Source organism: Homo sapiens, chromosome 12 (genome assembly GCF_000001405.40).
Source record: "Homo sapiens chromosome 12, GRCh38.p14 Primary Assembly".
NCBI lineage: Eukaryota > Metazoa > Chordata > Mammalia > Primates > Hominidae > Homo > Homo sapiens.
In genome coordinates this window covers 5353409-5370842 of record NC_000012.12, presented here as the reverse complement: position 1 = coordinate 5370842, position 17434 = coordinate 5353409, and the positions used below count along the sequence as shown (strand labels likewise).

At 39.8% G+C, this 17434-nt stretch overlaps 1 long non-coding RNA gene across 2 annotated transcripts in view; it reads right to left on the bottom strand.

Annotated features, from left to right (window-relative positions):
- Positions 1 to 17434, bottom strand: part of LOC105369617 (uncharacterized) — a 257798-nt gene that overhangs the window by 8902 nt on the left and 231462 nt on the right. For both annotated transcript variants that reach the window (NR_188065.1, NR_188066.1), the window contains one exon: positions 2909 to 3040. This is a non-coding gene — a long non-coding RNA (uncharacterized LOC105369617). The remainder of the gene's footprint in view (positions 1 to 2908; positions 3041 to 17434) is intronic.

Below are 17434 nucleotides of genomic sequence, written 5' to 3'. Positions count from 1 at the left end.
CAAAAGGAAGTTTTTAAACTAGGCTTCACATAATAAGGCAGAATTTATGAAATGCCCTTTGGATCTATCACCAGATACTTTTAAGAGAGAATTAATCATAGACCCCAGAGAAAAGGGCTGCTGGAGGGGAAGCTTGGGGGAGGGGGATGTGTCTGAGCTTGGTGGAGGGAAAGGAAGAGAGAAGGTGCATGCAGGATGGAGGAGAGGGCTGCATTACCTCATCCTTGTAGTTCCGACTTGCTTCATAATCTCAGTTTGCTTTCCAGAGGGACTAGAGCTAGCCTCTCCCTCTTCAAATCTATCCTGAATACCATGGCCCTATTAGTCCTTCTAAATCACTGCTCACTTCTCATCACTCTTTTTCAAGAATCAGAGGTGGCTCCCTATTGCCTGCTAAATCAAATCCAACTTCTCTGCTTCACTTGCACTGATTTCCGGAGCTCAGCCCCTCCCAGCCCATCCGGCTTGATCTCCCACTACCACTCTCAATGGCCACCTCTGTTCCAGCAGCCCTAACTCTCACTGTTTCCATGGACGAAGCTTTTCCTACCTTTGTGCCTGGGGTTGTGCTGTTCAGCCTGATGGAAATATTGCACTGCTTCTTCTGCTGAGTCTCCTTCTCTGACCCTTCATGCCTACATCGAGTCTAAGTCTCAATTCCTCTTTAAACGTAGCCCTCCCTGACTACTATCGCCCTCTCTATTGTCCCTCCTCTCTGAATCTGGTGATGTGCTGGTAGATGTTTGACAATGGGCTCTCCAGGAAGAGAAATGTATGCACTCATATGCGTACATTAGCTTATTCTAAATGTTACTGAAGTAAAGGATGTGTAGCACACAACTTACAAATAAGAATAAAAATATGCAATACTCTTTATTGTAAGTGCTATGTTGCTAGATGATTTTCACTGAATGCTTTCATCAATATTTGTCAAACTCTTGTATCTGTAGCCAATCTATGATTGCAATTGACAAACAAGTAATATTCTGGGATGAACGTTGGTTGATATTTTAATGAATAAAATGAAAGTAAAACAACAAAGATATATGTAACAATTTTACTTGTTTATCAACGACAAGAGAGTCTTCTTGGTTGAATAGGATAATTGTTTTTAAATACGGGTTTTTGTGTGTGTGTGTGTGTGTGTGTGTGTTATTCACAATGTAATGATTACAGACATTATAAATTTAGTCTGCATTAACATTTTCTTTGTCACTTTAAGTCTAGACAATCAACAAAACAATAAATCAAGCCCTGATTTGTAACATTTGCCAATTTCTGTGGTATAAATAGTCCTACCATGGCCGATTCCAAGCTACCAACATGAGGTTACTAAATGTGGAGATGGAAGAGACGTGCAGGGGCAGGTGCACACACGGCATTTCCACCACACAGGTACGACAGACATAAATAGCTCCTCCAAGTGCGTAGATAATAGAAAATGTTGTGACATCACTAGCGAGTGATGAATTTGGACTATCTCTAACTTGTGTTTTAAATATACTTTATTTGTTAATTTGCATACTGTAATTTTTAATATCAGCTGACAAAATTCCTGAAAATGTAAAAATCAATTCTCAGAAGCCACTGCAGGGTGTCAGTGCAAGTGGATGCTGTCACACCACTGCCTTAACTCAGCAAACTGTGAAGGGCCAGGCATCACCTGGGGCCTTGGAGATGACAGTGGATAACTTCATCCTTGCCTTTAAGGACCTCACGACCCAGCGGGGATGACAGATATGTTACAGATAGTGATGATGTGTTTGTACTTTCATGGAGGCATGAATTAGACCATTGAGGATTCTAGAAGACCAGGGAGAGGGGGCTGTTAACTCATGATGGTAATCAGGAGAACTACAGCGGAGATGATTTTAACTCGAATCCAGAAAGATGACGAGGAATGGGTCACAGGGAGTAAGGATAGACATGCCAAGCAATTGGAAGCACATGCACAAAGATGCGTATTCTTGGGACATCAGGTTATTCAGTGTGGCTGCAGAGGGGGTCTGGGGCAGGGATGGCCAGAGATGGGAATATGAGGGAAGGCTCAAGCAGATGGCAAAACATTCATAATCATTACCATGCACTTCACTGCTGAATCGCTACCTGATTTTTCGTGGGTATATATTTTTAAAATATTTACTTTTTCATGAAGCTAAATCTTAATTTTTACCCATGTAATACTGACTCATTTATCTGCAGTGCAGGCTGTGGAGGGAGCCAGAGAAAGAAGAGCATCTTCACCTTCGAGAACTTTTTGGATTTTTACATTTATTTATTCATTTATTTATTTTAGAAACAGGGTCTCACTGTGTTGCTGGGGCCAGAGTGCATTGGCATGATCATAGCCCACTGCAATCTCAAGCTCCTGGCCTCAAGTGATCCTCCTGCCTCAGCCTCCCAACTAGCTAGGACTACAGGTGTGCACCACCATGCCTGGCTAATTTTTATTTTTATAAAGATGGGGTCTCGCTATGTTGCCTAGGCAGTTTCGAGCTCCTGACCTCAAGTGATCCTCTTGCCTCAGCCTCCCAAAGCACTGGGATTACACATATGAACCACCACACCCAGCCAACTTTTCGCATTCCTAGCATTGGGCTTGGCATCCAAGAAAGCATGTGAGACCTTTGTGGGATTTTTTTTTTCTTCTCAAATACTTAAACTCCTTTGTTCTTTTTTATTCCAGACAATGGGATACAAGGCCTGCACTCCTCATTATTCAGGCCCCAAAGTGATGACGACTTGAAAGAACCTTAAAGATCAGCTCAGATATTTTGTATTTTACAGAGTCACAAACTGACCAGTGTTGGGGGCTGGGTTAAAAAAAAATTAGTTATTCTGACTTTCTGTTCAGGTATCTGCCAGTGATTCCACCTTAACTCCTATATCTTAGCCACACGTCACTCACCGTCTTGGGGAGCCTGTAGTCCTCTGAGGCATGGTGAGGCGGGAAATGGTGGAAATGTGCAAGGATGTTATATGAATTGTGTTGGTTGGCCTAAAACACAGAGCCGGCTTGAGCTGGAAGCACACAACATGCCTGAAAAACAGTTAAAGCCTTGTCAGAAACATTTTGGAATCCAAAACTTTTGAACCCAGCATTGTAAAAGAAAGATCTTAAGACATTTGTTTTTGTGTGTGTTCAGTATATTCAATTAATATGAAAGCAGCTTGGTTTCCAAACATACGGAAGAAATTTTTCATCAAAAGAAGGACTTTTTAGTGGGTTTCAGATTTCTGCTTGTTGCCTGTCACTTGATACAAAATATCTGATTTTCTAGATTCTTTGAAGCCAAGTGGAAAAGTAGATAAAACCGCTTTCTCTCCCCAGATGGGATGGATGTGTGTTTGTGGGGGCTTATAGAGGACGCAGCCCCATCGGTGACACTGTGCCAAGTCAATACAGCCTGGGAAGATGAGGCTGGACCAATAGCAGTAAGCATGCTTACTTTCCCAGGAGGAAAGGCTGGGGCATCCCCAGGGAAGAGGATTCTGGTCTCCATGGTAAACTGTGGAGGGAATCCACAAAGAAGAAAGCTGTGGGAACACTTGAGGAAGCCCACCTAAAGCTATGCAGCTACCTGGATCAGAATTACCTGTGGTGAACAAGCAGTGAGGAATGCTTTTGTTTACTCTAGGGAAATACTGCCTTAGTATCAGTTCAGCAATAGAAAACCTGGGTCAGCCAGTCCTTCCCACTTGTCTTCACAACTCTCAGGTCATCCAGTTTGGTTTCCCAACAAACCTCCCAGCATCAGCCTCTTCATGCTCAAAAGGAGAAAGACTGAAAGGGAAACTGAGTGGCCAGACTCCGGCCCTGACGCAGCCTTGGGAAGAGATGTTGCTGTGGCCCCCACGCACAACTGGGACTTTAATGACTGAGACCAGCCTAACCCTGGATTTGCTGTCCTTGCACCCCATCACCTCCATTGTAGTTGTTATTATGTTGCTTTGTAATGTTCTGATTATTGCTGGTTTGCTCCACTGGACAGTAAGTACCTTAATATTACTCACTGCTTCTCATCCATCATTTCCAATGCCAAACACAATTAATTGGATGAGTGAATTTTTAAAAATTGTACATGGGATACATGTATAATTTTTTTTAAATTATGCTTTTAAAAAAATTATACATGGGATACATGCACATGGCATACTTGTGCAGGTTTGTTACATAGGTATACATGTGCCATGGTGGTTTGCTGCACCCATCAACCTGTCATCTACATTAGGTATTTCTCCTAATGCTACCCCTACCCTAGCCCCCCAGCCCCTGACAGGCCCTGGTGTGTGATGTTCTCCTCCCTGTGTCCATGTGTTCTCATTGTTCAACTCCCACTTATGAGTGAGAACATGTGGTGTTTGGTTTTCTGTTCCTATGTTAGTTTAGTTAGCTGAGAATGATGGTTTCCAGCTTCATCCACATCCCTGCAGAGGACATGAACTCATCCTTTTTTATGACTGTATAGTATTCCATGGTGTATATGTGCCACATTTTTTTTGAATTTTTAAGAATATGTTAGGCAACACCAGTCATATCATTATTCTCTCTAGGACTTATTTGTCCATATTTAAGATGTAGCAACTGGTATAAAGCCTCTTCCAATGGTCATGTGCTAGGATTCTAGATGTGGGAGGGCAGGGGATGAGGCTAGGGATAAACAGAAAACTACACCATTAGGTACAGTATGCACTACTCAAGTGACAGGTGCAGTAAAAGCTCAAAATTCACAACTTTATAATTCATCCATGTAACAAAAGCTACTTGACCCCCAAAACTACTGAAATAAAGATTAAAAAAAAAACTCTTTGTGCTCTCCCTATTTATTCCTTCCACCTTCCTTTCAAACCCCCGGAAACCACTGATATTCTTACTATATCCATAGTTTTGCCTTTCCAGAATGTCATATAGTAGGAATCTTACAATATGTAGTTTTTCATATTGAATTCTTTCACTTTGCAATGTGCATGTAAAGGTTCTTCCATGTCTTTTTATGGTTTGATAGCTCATTTTATTGCTGAATAATATTCATTTTCTATATGCACCACAGTTAACTTATTCATTAATCTACTAGAGGATATCTTGGTGTCTTTCAAATTTCAGCAATTGTAATAAAGCTGCTGTAAACACTCTTGCAGGTTTTTACATGAATGAAAGTTCTTAACTCTTGAATAAATGCCAAGGATTGTCATTGCTGGGTCATATAGTAAGACTATGTTTAGTTTCATAAGAAACTGCCAAACTGTCTTCCAAAGCGTTTACACCGTTTTGCATTCCCACCAGCAATGAATGAGAGTTTCTGTTGCTCCACATCTTTGGAAGCATTTGGTGTTATCAGTGGAAAAAGCTTTTTTTTATTAAGATGTCTCATTGACATTTACAACTTCATACGTCTGAATTGTGTTCACTCTCGCCCTCTCCAAACCTCCTATGTTCCTTACCTTGAGGAATGGTACCATCATCCCTCGGGGCACTTAAGAGTATTTCATGTCCTCCTTTCTCCATCACTACTCAAATAAACCAGTCACTAAGCTCTGTTGATTCTCACACTTGTATTTCTTTGAGGTTTGTTCCTGTTTTCCATCCTTTGTGCCTCTTTCCATGAAACAACCTCCTTCACTCTTCTCCCTTCCTCTGGCTTGCCCTGGTCCACACTATAGGCAGCTATCTTCCAAAATTCTGTGTTACTTCGTTATTTAAACAACAACAACAACAATAACAACAAAAACCTTTGACGTTCTCCCACTGCCTTCAGATTAAAGCCGCAACTCTCCTGGGTGGCCTGAAAGGTCTCCATGAACTTTGCTCTGCCAAACACCTTTGGCCTCATTAGTTGCTTTTCTGTCCCCCACCTCAACACCCTGCATGCTATTTGCAGTGTTTGTAACATCTGCAGTTCCCCAAACATGCAAGGCTGTTGTAAACCATTGCATGTATTATTCTACTTCCTTGGAACTCTTGTCTGGAGAATTCCTACTCAGGTTTCAAGATTTAACTCAAACATCACCTCTCTTGACAACTAAGAGAAAGGACTTCTTTTTCTGGATCCCTACTGAGTGGCATGGTCTAGCTAAGTTATGCCTTCATCTCCCTGACAGGCAGATTTATTTGTTTATGCATCCATCTTCCCCTCCTACTCCGTGTCTGTGCATTTCTGTATCCTTCCAGCTAGCCACTGATAAAATTTGCTGCATTAAATTTATAAAAGGGCAACAGAAGGCTGTGGAGAGCTAACTGTGCCATTGATAGGACTTCATCACTTCAGAGCATGCATGACCTCTCAACCACCATCAGCTCACTTAACCACATAGACTGGAAAACAACAGGAGAAAGAGATAAGAGGGTAACTGTACTGGGTAGACCCTAGCCATATATATTTTCTCCCTCTAATTATTTTGAATAGGTTCTGAGGGAGAAGAAGCTAAGGTCATTGCTAACCACTACTCTTGTACTGATGGGGGAGGGGAAATTGTAAAATGTGAGATGTGCAATTAGTTAGATGAGTGCAGAAAGACCATAAAAATTACTCATTGTCACAGGAAGGATTTATTCGGGCTCATGAAAATTAGCCTGCTCAGAGAACAGGTTTGCAAGGAATTGCATCAATTCTGCGGGGTTCTCCATGGGAGCTAAGCCTGGCCCTCTGCGTAAGCTCTTGCAGGTGCCGTTGCAGAGGGATGGGCCAGAGGGGAGGAGCAGGTAGTAGCTTTTAGGTGGGAGTAGCCATCCATTTTTCTCTTCTGGCTCATCAGTAAAACTTCCCATGTTTGGCCAGTTCTTTTTCCATTTCTTTTACAGATAACCCTTTTGATAATCTTGGAAAATGTGCCCCGGCTCCCGCTGAGGTTACCTGGGAAAAGTGCTCAGAATGTGATAGTGACTTGGCTGTGGTCACTCAGCCCGTAAGAACAAGCCCCAAACTCTGGCCTCTCCCACAGACTTGGTTGGTTATTTCTTACAAAACTCCTCCCAGCTCTTTGAACTACCCTAGGAAGGATCCTTAGCCACTTATTTCATATGCTTCCTTGTTACATGTTTTTTCAGCTGCTTGGAAGTAGTGATGCTATCTTATTTTGTTTGTCAGCAAGCCTGCACATATATGTGTTTAATTATTTTGACTACATTGCTCTGCATCTGGCTTTGAGTTAAACCACTTCTCAATTTTAGCCTAGGCCTACTGGCCTAGTGTGCAGCTGACTTGATACTGGACTCCAAAGGCTCCAGGCTGTGAACGAAGAATGGAACAGGTAACGGCAGAACCTCTGCTTTGGTCCTGGCCTCCCATCAAATGGAATGATATAAAAGAGAGTGAAAATGGGGGCCCCCAGTGGATGCAGCACTTGCCTGACCTTCATTTCTGGCAAGTTCCTGGCTTCCCTTCCCCACCTTGACATTTCTCCTTGCAATACTCCCTGTGCAGTGAGATCTCCCACACTAGGGGATGCTCCCTGTAGGTAGAGTAGTGTGGCTCAAAACGGCTGGGAAGCAATCGTCTAGCCAAATCTACCCTCCTTACAGCTGAAGAAACCCAGGGCCACAGTGATAAAGGCACACATCACCCAGTATGACAATGGCAGGGCTGGGACCAGAACCCAGGCCTCCTGATTTCTGGTCTGTGTAGGAACCAGTCAGGGCACATTGAGAATCAATTCTTATATTATCTAGAGGGTGTGCAATTGATCAGTGATGCTGCAAAGGCCCTGATTAGACCCTACAGTAGGTCTGGGGAGAGGCAGCAATTCTGAGTCCCTGGAATCTGGATTCATTCATTTGTCCATTTACTCTTCATTTATTCATTCATTCTAGCCCCCCATTCTGAACTGCTGAGAGGTAGTCTTTAACTTTTGTTTGTATCTCCTGCAGTGATGCTTAAAGTTCAGTTCTTTGCACCATCAGCAGATATAAAATCACATGTAAGCAGCATCATAGTGCAGCTGAAAGTCACCAGAGTAGTAGACAGATAGCCCTGGGTTCTAGGCCTGGCTCCACACAGCATGTCTGCATCATCTTAAGCAAGTTATTTATTGTCCATGTGCCTATGCGTTTGAAAATGGGGAGTAGACCCCTCGCTGAGGCTCTTCCTGTGGATCTATGATGTTGATATTGATGCTGAATTATTTCCCATTCATTGGGCATTTACTGGCAGACAATGGCCAGAAGGAAATATCTCTCATTTGTGTGAAATTCACCTCAAATTTGTTAACTCATGAGTTCGTTGCTACAAGCCTTGGACACCCAGATGTGAGGGATGGATGTAGGAGTTCTCGTGCTACTCCAGACTGAAACAGACACTGGCTGAGCACCTCCTGGAGGAGAGGACCACATTGGCCCTGGGGACCCCCCATCACCTAGAGAGGGAATCCTCAAAAGGCAAGCCTCCCTCCAGGGTCCTAAGGGCACTTCTTTTGTTCTTCCATATACCAGCTCTTTCACCTTGGGCATATGCTTAAATTCTCTGCATTTGAGGCTCCTCATCTATAAAATAGGTAAAATAAAATAAAATAATGCCTACTTCATAAAGGTGCTGTGAAGACTAATTTTTTTTTTTACAGAAATTAGTACCAGGGCAGAGTAGCCACTCCACTGAGGGAAAGGTCTGACTCTGCAAGTTCCCATGCAGGTCAGGGGACCAAAAAATGCGTCACTGCCTCTTAGAGCATATTCCCTTCCAGGTGCTCCACTTTTGCATTGACATTGAATATGAGGCTGCGCCACAAAAGAAAGGTTTGAGACCTGTGAGAGGAAATGAACAAGTTTTCCCTTGGCAGCAATGGGTTGAGATGACACGGTTTTGTCGCCTCGTGACTAGATGTGGGTAATTTCCCTGGTGTAATCCACATGTTTGAACACAGAGCAGGGATTAGCCACAGCTGAGAGTCCCAGAAGGAGAGGCTTAAAGCACAGTCTTCCTAATTTCTCTGACAGCATCCCCCAGCTTTGGCCCACCCTATCCCCAACAGGACCTCAGACCCTCTGATCTGGGGCAACCAGAATCTTGCCTTACAGAGATATTACACTTGTTTGGTCTTCCAGCACCTTCTGAAAATGATAGGCCTGCTGAGAAATCGTGACCAGCTGGGGAGGGGTGTGGTTGGCCACCCTGGGTTGGAAGGAAAGGGATGATGGAGGTGATCGGGCTACAGTGTTAGGCTGGGATCAAAGTCTCTGGATTACTTTCTCTGTTCTAATGTAGATTTGGTGAATTTTATAGCGTACATCTTTATGGCCATTACATGTAGTTAAAGAAAACTTATCTGTGCAATGGAAAGAAGAATATTGACCATGATGCTTCTTCAAGATTTCAGTGAGCAACCAAAACAAAACAAGACAACAACAAAACAAAAACCCATGACTTTTAACATTTTTTATTCTGAAATGATTTCAGGTTTACAAAAGAGTTGCAAAGATAGTATAGAGTTCTGGCATATTCTTTACCTAGCTTCTTCTAATGCTAACATCTTATACAGCCGTGGTACATTTATCAAAACTCACCTTGGGAGAATGCTATTAACCAAATGACAGACTTTATTTGGATTTCTCTGGCAGTCTTCGAGACTTTTAACAGTGCCTCTTAATCTCAATGGTCACCTTCCAACTCGAATCCTCTCTCACTGCACTTGGCTTGTAATCCCAAGAGGACCTCAGTACTTCCATTCCTTCTCTTTCCTGACTGCACACACTGGAAATCCAACCCTAAGTCTCAGTGCTCTAGACTCCGCCTCTAATCTTCTTTCATCATCCTGGAGCAATCTCAAAACTGAACATGGCTACCACCAAGTAGGACCTCCAGGCCCAGCCAGCCCCTCAGCCTGACGCACTCTTCAAAGTCTCTACCTGTGCTAGATGAGCTGCTTCTGCCACTCTCCTCAGCAATGCTGAAGAGCTCTCTGTTCCCCCAGGCACCTACTCACTCCTCACCCCTCAACTTTAGAAGATACAGATTTTCATAGAGAAAAACATAAGATCATCACGTTAGGTGTGATTGTCTTTATCCGTTTAACCTTTATCTAAAAGCTCTTCACAGCCACAGCCATCTTGACCACCCTTCTTCTAGTATTTAATGAGAAGGTCTCCATCTTTTCATTCACAATGCCTGTGGCTCCCTGTGCCAGTAACTCTTTCCCCCCAGCCTCCTTAACAAACTTGACTGTATCAGTCCCCCTCTTTCTGTTCCATACAGGTTGAGCATCCCTAATCTGAAAATCCAAAATTAAAAATACTGCAGAATTGAAAACTTTTTGAGTGCTGACATGTGTCACAAGTGGAAAATTCCACAAATAAGTACTTAATACAAACCTTATTTCATGAACAGAATTATTTAAACTATTGTATAAAATTACCTTCAGGTTTTGTGCATAAGGTGTATATGTAACATAAATAAATTTCGTGTTTAGACTTGGGCTAAGCTCTAACTGGTATATCTCCAAGATATCTTACTGTGTATTTGTAAATATTCCAAAATCTGAGAAAAATATGAAATCTGAAACACTTCTGGTCCCAAGTATTTAGAATGAGAGATACTCAGGCTGTAACTACATTCCTTCTCTAATTATAGATTCCCCTTAGTCAAGTCTGAAACTTGCTTAATTCTTTCCAATTCCAAAAACAAAAATAAAACATAACTTCTTTTTACCTTTAGCACCCGTTTATCTACAGATCGTTCTCCTCTTCTCTCACAAGCTTCTTGAAATATCAGTGTATATTTTCCCCTTTTAATTTCACATTAATCTAAGTTTGAGAGGTTTTTCCCTAGACTTTTATTTGCCATTTTTTCTTTGTTATGTTTTAGAGATGGGAAAGAATATGGAAGAGTAAAGAAAAATGACTTTTAATCTACCTGCTCCTGTAGAAAAAAAGTATGATATCTGATTTAAAATAGCCTTAAGGTCTATTTAAATGTTTTGAAAATCAAAGTTTGTAAAATAGACACAATCCTTTCCTTTTCTTTCTTTCTTTCTTTCTCTCTCTCTCTTTCTTTCTTTCCTTCTTTCTTTCTTCCCTTCTTTCTTTCCTTCCTTCTTTCTTTCTTTTCTTTCTTTCTTTCATCTTTCTTCTTTTTTTCTTTTTGAGATGGAATCTCATTCTGTCACCCAGGCTGGCACGCAGTGGCGCAATCTCGGCTCACTGTAACCTCCGCCTCCAGGGTTCATGCGATTCTCCTGCCTCAGCCTCCTGAGTAGCTGGGATTACAGGCACATACCACCATGCCTGGCTAATTTTTTGTAGTTTTAGTAGAGACGGGGTTTCACTATGTTGGCCAGACTGGTCTCGAACTCCTGACCTCTTGATCTGCCCACCTCAGCCTCCCAAAGTGCTGGGATTATAGGCGTAAGCCACCGTGCCTGGCTGACACAATTCTTTCCAACTCTACTGTCTATATCAATATCAGAGTGTAATATCAGAGTGTATCGGTTTCCTAGGGCTGCCCTAACAAATCACCATAAACTTGGTGGTCTAAAACAACTGAAATGTATTATTTCACAGCCGTGCTGTGCAGAAGTCCAAAATCAAGGTGTCTGCAGGGCAGCATTCATACTGGGTACTCGAGGGTCAAATCTATTCCTTGCCTTTTCCAACTTCTGCCTGCTGTGAGCATTCATGGTGGTGGCATCACTCCAATTTCTTGCCCCTACCTTCACAGGCCATTCCCTCCCATGTCTTCTCCTATTCTGTCTTTTTTTTTTTTTTTTTTTTTTTGAGACGGAGCCTGGCTCTGTCACCCAGAGAAATCAATGAGAAATCAATGCCTGGCTTCAGAGTTTCAAAGGACAAGCTGACTCTGTTGTTAGGAGCTAAGGCAGCTGGTGACTTTAAGTTGAAGCCAATCATTTATCATTCTGAAAATTTTAAGGCCCTTAAGAACTATGTTAAATCAACTCTGCCTGTGCTCTCCAAACAGAACAGTAAAGCCTGGATGAGAGCACATCTGATTACAGAAAGGTTTACTGAATATTTTAGGCTTGCTATTGAGACCTACTGCTTAGAAAAAAAGATTCAAAATATTACTGCTCAGTGACAGTGCACCTAGTCACCCAAGAGCTCTGATGGAGAATTACAAAGAGATTAACATTGTTTTTATGCCTACTATCACAACATCCATTCTGAAGCCCATAGATCAAGAAGTAAATTTGACTTACAAATCTTATTATTTAAGAAATACGTTTCAAAGGACTATAGCTATGACTATATCTGTGGCTATAGCTGCCACAGATAGTGATTTCTCTGATGGATTTGAGCAAAGTAAATAGAAAGCCTTCTAGAAATAATTCACTATTCTAGACACCATTAAGAACATTTGTGATTCACGAGAGGAGGTGAACATATCAACATTAACAGGAGTTTGGAAGAAGTTGGTTCCAGCCCTCCTGGGTGACTTTGAGGAGTTCAAAACTTCAGTGGAGGAAGTAACTGCAGATGCAGTGGAAATAGTAAGAGAACTAGAATTAGAAGTGGAGCCTGGCTGGACACAGTAGCTCATACCTATAATCCCAATGCTTCTGGAGGCTGCGGTGGGAGGATTCTTGAGGCCCAGAGTTTGAAACCAGCCTAGGCAACGTAGCAAAACCCTGTGTCTACAAAAAAACATAAAATAAAAATTAGCCAAGCATGTTGCTGTGCACCTGTAGTCCCAGTTACTTGGGAGGCTGAGGCAGAAGGATTATTTGAGTCCAGGAGTTTGCGATTACAGTGAGTTATGATCTCACCACAGCGACACTGTTCCAGCCTGGGTGATGAAGCAAGACCCTGTTTCTTTAAAAACAAAACAAAAAAAAGGTGGGGATGGGGTCTGAAGATGTGACTGAATTGCTGCAATCTCATGATAAAACCTGAACAGAGGAGGAGTTGCTTCCTTTGGATGAGCAAAGAAAGTGCTTTCTTGACATGGAATCTGCTCCTGGTGAAGATACTGGGAATGTTGTTGAAATAACAACAAACAGTTTAGAATATTACATAAACTTAGTTGATAAGGCAGTGCCAGAATTTGAGAGGATTAACTCCAGTTTTGAAGGGAGTTCTACTGTGGGTAAAACCCTATCAAACGGCATTGCATGCTGCAAAGAAATCTTTTGTGAAAGGGACAGTCCATCAATGAGGCAACCTTCATTGTTTTGTTATTTTAAGAAGTTGCCACAGCCACCTCAGCCTTTAGCAGCCACCACACTGATCAATCAGCAGCCGTCAACATCAAGGCAAGACCCTCCACCAGCAAAAAGATTATGGCTCACTGAAGGCTCAGATGATCATTAGCATTTTTTAAGCAATGAAGTATTTTTAAGTTAAGGTATATTCATCGTTTTGTAGACACATGCTATTACACATCTAATAGACCACAATATAGTGTAAAATAACTTTTATATGCACTAGGAAATCTAAAAATCATGTGACTCACTTTATCATGATACTCCCTTTATTGTAGTGGTCAGGAACCAAACTGGAAATATCTCCAAGGTATGCCTGTATAAACACTAAATGTGAATTGTAATTCAAACATTATTTGAATTCAAAGGATTAAGAGCTAAAATTGAGAGAAGAAACTGTGTATTTAGGAGTACTCCATGTGCCAAGATTCTAAGCTGTGTTGTATTGATTTCCTATTTTGGCAAACTTTTCCTGTTGATTATGGATATTTGCTATCGTATGGCTCCTTGGTATCCATTTCCTCTACTTTTCCCATTTGGTAACAGCGCTGGGAATTTCTTCTCTTAGTCACTAAATTTTTGTGATCCTGCAACATATATGAAGCAGGCCTTCCTTAGCCAAAGTGATTGGTTCAGGGATGAACATATGACCCAATCTCAGTGAATGAGATTTTTGCTGGGATTTCTGAGAGAGGCAGGGAAATTTCTCCTCCAGATTTGAACCTGAGATGATCTGAGGTTGAAATCAACACAATAAGGAGCAGAACAAAGCCTGCCAACATCATTTGAGCCTTTAGAAGTCACTTTTGAAGCACACACTTTTGTTATATAAGCCCACAAATTCCCTTTTGTTGCTTAAGCAAATTGACATTGGATTTTCTGTTACTTGCAATCAAAAGAGTCCTACTTGATAAACCATTCTTTCCAAATACAACAAACGTACGCTAAGCACTTCAGGGATTTTAAGAATAATTTTGTACAATTAAGTGGTTTTTGGTATATTCACAGAGTTGTGCACTAATTCTGGTACATTTTCATCATCACAAAAAGAATCCCTATACTCATGAACATTCACTCCCCACTCTGCTCTGCCCCCCAGATCCTAATGACCAGTAATCCACTTTCTGTCTCCATGGACTTGCTTATCCTAGACAATTCATGTAAATAGAATCAACCAATGTGTGGCCTTTTGTGTCTGGCTTCTTTCACCTAGCATAATACCTTCAAGTTTCCTCTACGTATCAAGTTATCAGTACTTTATTCCTGCTATTGCTGAAAAATATTTTATTGTGTGGATAGAGTACATTTTGTTTATCCATTCCTCAGTTGGTGGACATTGAAGTTATTCCTACTTTTCAGCTATTATGAATAGTGCTGTTATGAATATTTGTATACAAGTTTTTGTGTGGACATATGTTTTCATTTCTGTTAGGTATATATGTAGAAGAGGAATTTCTAAGTCATATGGTAATTCCATGTTTAACCTTTGAAAGAACTGCCAAACACATTTTAAAACTGGCTGTACCATTTTACAATCACGTCAGAAATATATGAGGCTTTTAGTTTTTCTACATCCTTATCAAACATTGGCTATTGTATCTCTTTTTGATTAAAGTCATCCTAGAGTATGTGAACTGATGTCTCATTGTGGTTGTGATTTGCATTTCCTTAATGACAAAGGATGTTGAATATCTTTATATGTTCATTTTGGCCACTTATATGTCTTTTGGAGAAATGACTATTTAAATCTTTTGCCCATTAAAAAACACGGTTATTTATGATTTTGTTTTTGATTTGCAAGAGTTATTCATACATTCTGAATACAAGTCTATTAGCAGACATACAATCGGCAAGTATTTTCTCTCAATCTGTGAGCTCCCCTTTCACTTTTTTGGTGGTGTCCCTTGAAGTACAAAAGCTTTTAATTTCGATGAAGACCAATTTATCTATTTTTTTCTTTTTTGCTTGTGCTTTTGGTGCCATACCTAAGAAACCATTCAAGGCCCAATCCCAGGTCATCAAGATGTACTCATTTGTTTTCTTCCAAGAGTTTTAATGTCTTAGCTCTTACATTTATAATTATGGTCTGCTTTGAATATGGTACAAGCAAGGGGTTCAAGTTCATTATTTTGCATGTTGATATCTAGTTATTCTAGCATCATTTTTTGAAAAGACTATTATTTTCCCATTGAATTGTCTTGGCACTTCTGTTGAAGATTAATTGGTCATAAATATACAGATTTATTTCTGGGCTCTCAATTCTATTCCATTGATGCTAATACTACACGGTCTTGATCATTGTTGCTTTGAGGTAAGTATTAAAACTAGGCCATGCAAGTCCACCAACTTTATTCTTTTAAAAATTGTTTCAGCAATTCAAGTTTCCTTAAATTTTTATACGAATTTTAGAATCTGCTTGTCAATTTCTGCAAAAAAAAAAAAAAAAAAAAAAAAAAAGAAAAACAAAGGCAGATGGCATTTTGATTTAGACTGTGTTGAATCTATAGGTCAACTTGGGGAATATTTCCATTTTAAAAACATTACATTTTCTGATCCATGAACATGGGTCATGTCCTTCCATTTATTTTGGTTTTTGAAAATTTATTTCACAATGTTTTATATTTTTCAGTGAACAAGTCGTGCTCATGTTTTATTAAATGCATTTCTTATTATTTTATTCTTTTTGATGCTATTATAAATAGAATTGTTTTCTTAATTTTATTTGTGATTGTTCATTGCTAATTTGTAGAAATCCAGTTGATTTTTGTATATTGATCTTGTATTCTGAAAACTTGTTGAACTCAGTAGTTATCACAGTTTCTTGTGGATTCCTTAGACTTCTTCAATATTCAAGATCATGTGATCTGAAAATAGAGATAATTTTACTTTTTCCAATATGAATGTATTTTATTTATTTTTCTTGCCTAACTTCTCTGACCAGAGCCTCTGGTACAATGTTGAATGTAAGTGGTGATAATGGAAGTCTTTTTTTGGTATCTGATCTCAGGGAAAATATTTCATGTTTTACCATTAAATATAATGTAGCTCTGTAATTTTGTATATGCTTTTTATTTGATTAAGGAAGTTGTCTTTTATTCTTAACTTGTTAAGTGTTTTAACATGAAAGAGTGTTGAATTTTGCAAAATGCTTTTTATGAGTCTTTTGATGTAATCATGTGGTTTTTGTCCTTTAACCTGTTAATAGGATTTATTATATTGATTGATTTTCATATATTAAATCAACCTTGCATTCCTGGGATAAATCCTATTTAGTTATGAAGCCCAATCCTTTTTATACATTATGTGTTCACTTTTCTAGCATTTTATTGAGGATTCTTTTTATTTATATTTATAAAGAAAATTGATCTTTTACTTTCTTTTGTGATATCTTTGTCTGGATTTGGTATCAGGACAATATCAGCTGTGCATCATGAGTTAGCATTTCCTCATTCTCTCTACTTTTTTTTTTTGAGTCTGTGAAGGGTTGATGTTAATTTATCTTTATGTGTTTGATAGTAAACCATTCATCAGTAAAGCCATTTACATCTAGGTATTTTTATGGGAAGTTTCAAAATGATTACTTCTAGCACGTTCCTTGTTATAGGACTATTTAGATTTTCTATTTTCTTTTGAGTCAGTTTTGGTAGTTTGTGTTTTTCTAGAAATGTGTCCATTTTATCTAGGTTATCTTATTTTTTGGCATACTACTGATAGTAGTACAGTACTATTTATTTCTGTTAGTCTGGAAGTGATGTTCACTCTTTATCTTTCATTACTGATTTTTGTAATTGAGTGATCTCTTTACCCTGTCCCCTCTCTTCCTTCTTTCCCTCCCTCCCTTCCTTCCTTTCTTCTTTCCTTCCTTCCTTCTTTCTTTCTTCCCTCCTTCCTTCCTTCCTCTCTGTCTCTCTTTCTCCCCTCCCTCCCTCCCTCCCTCCCTCCTTCTCTTCCTTCCTTCCTTCCTTCCTTCCTCTTTTCTTTCTTTCTTCCTGGCAGTTTAGCTAGCTAAAGTTTTGTCAATTTTTAAAATCTTTTCAAAGAAATGACTTTAAGTTTTGTTTGTTTTCTCTATTATTATTTATATTTTCTATTTCATGGATTTGTTCTCAAATTTCTATTATTTCCTTCCTCCTGCTCATTTTATATTTCATTCACTCTGCTTTTTCTAGGTTTTCAAGGTAAAAGGTTAGGATGTTGATTTGAGATCTTTCTTCTTCATTGCTTTAGCTACATTCTGTAAATTTTGTTGTTTGGTATCTGTTTTCGGTCAGCTTATTTCCCTTGCATTTTTTCT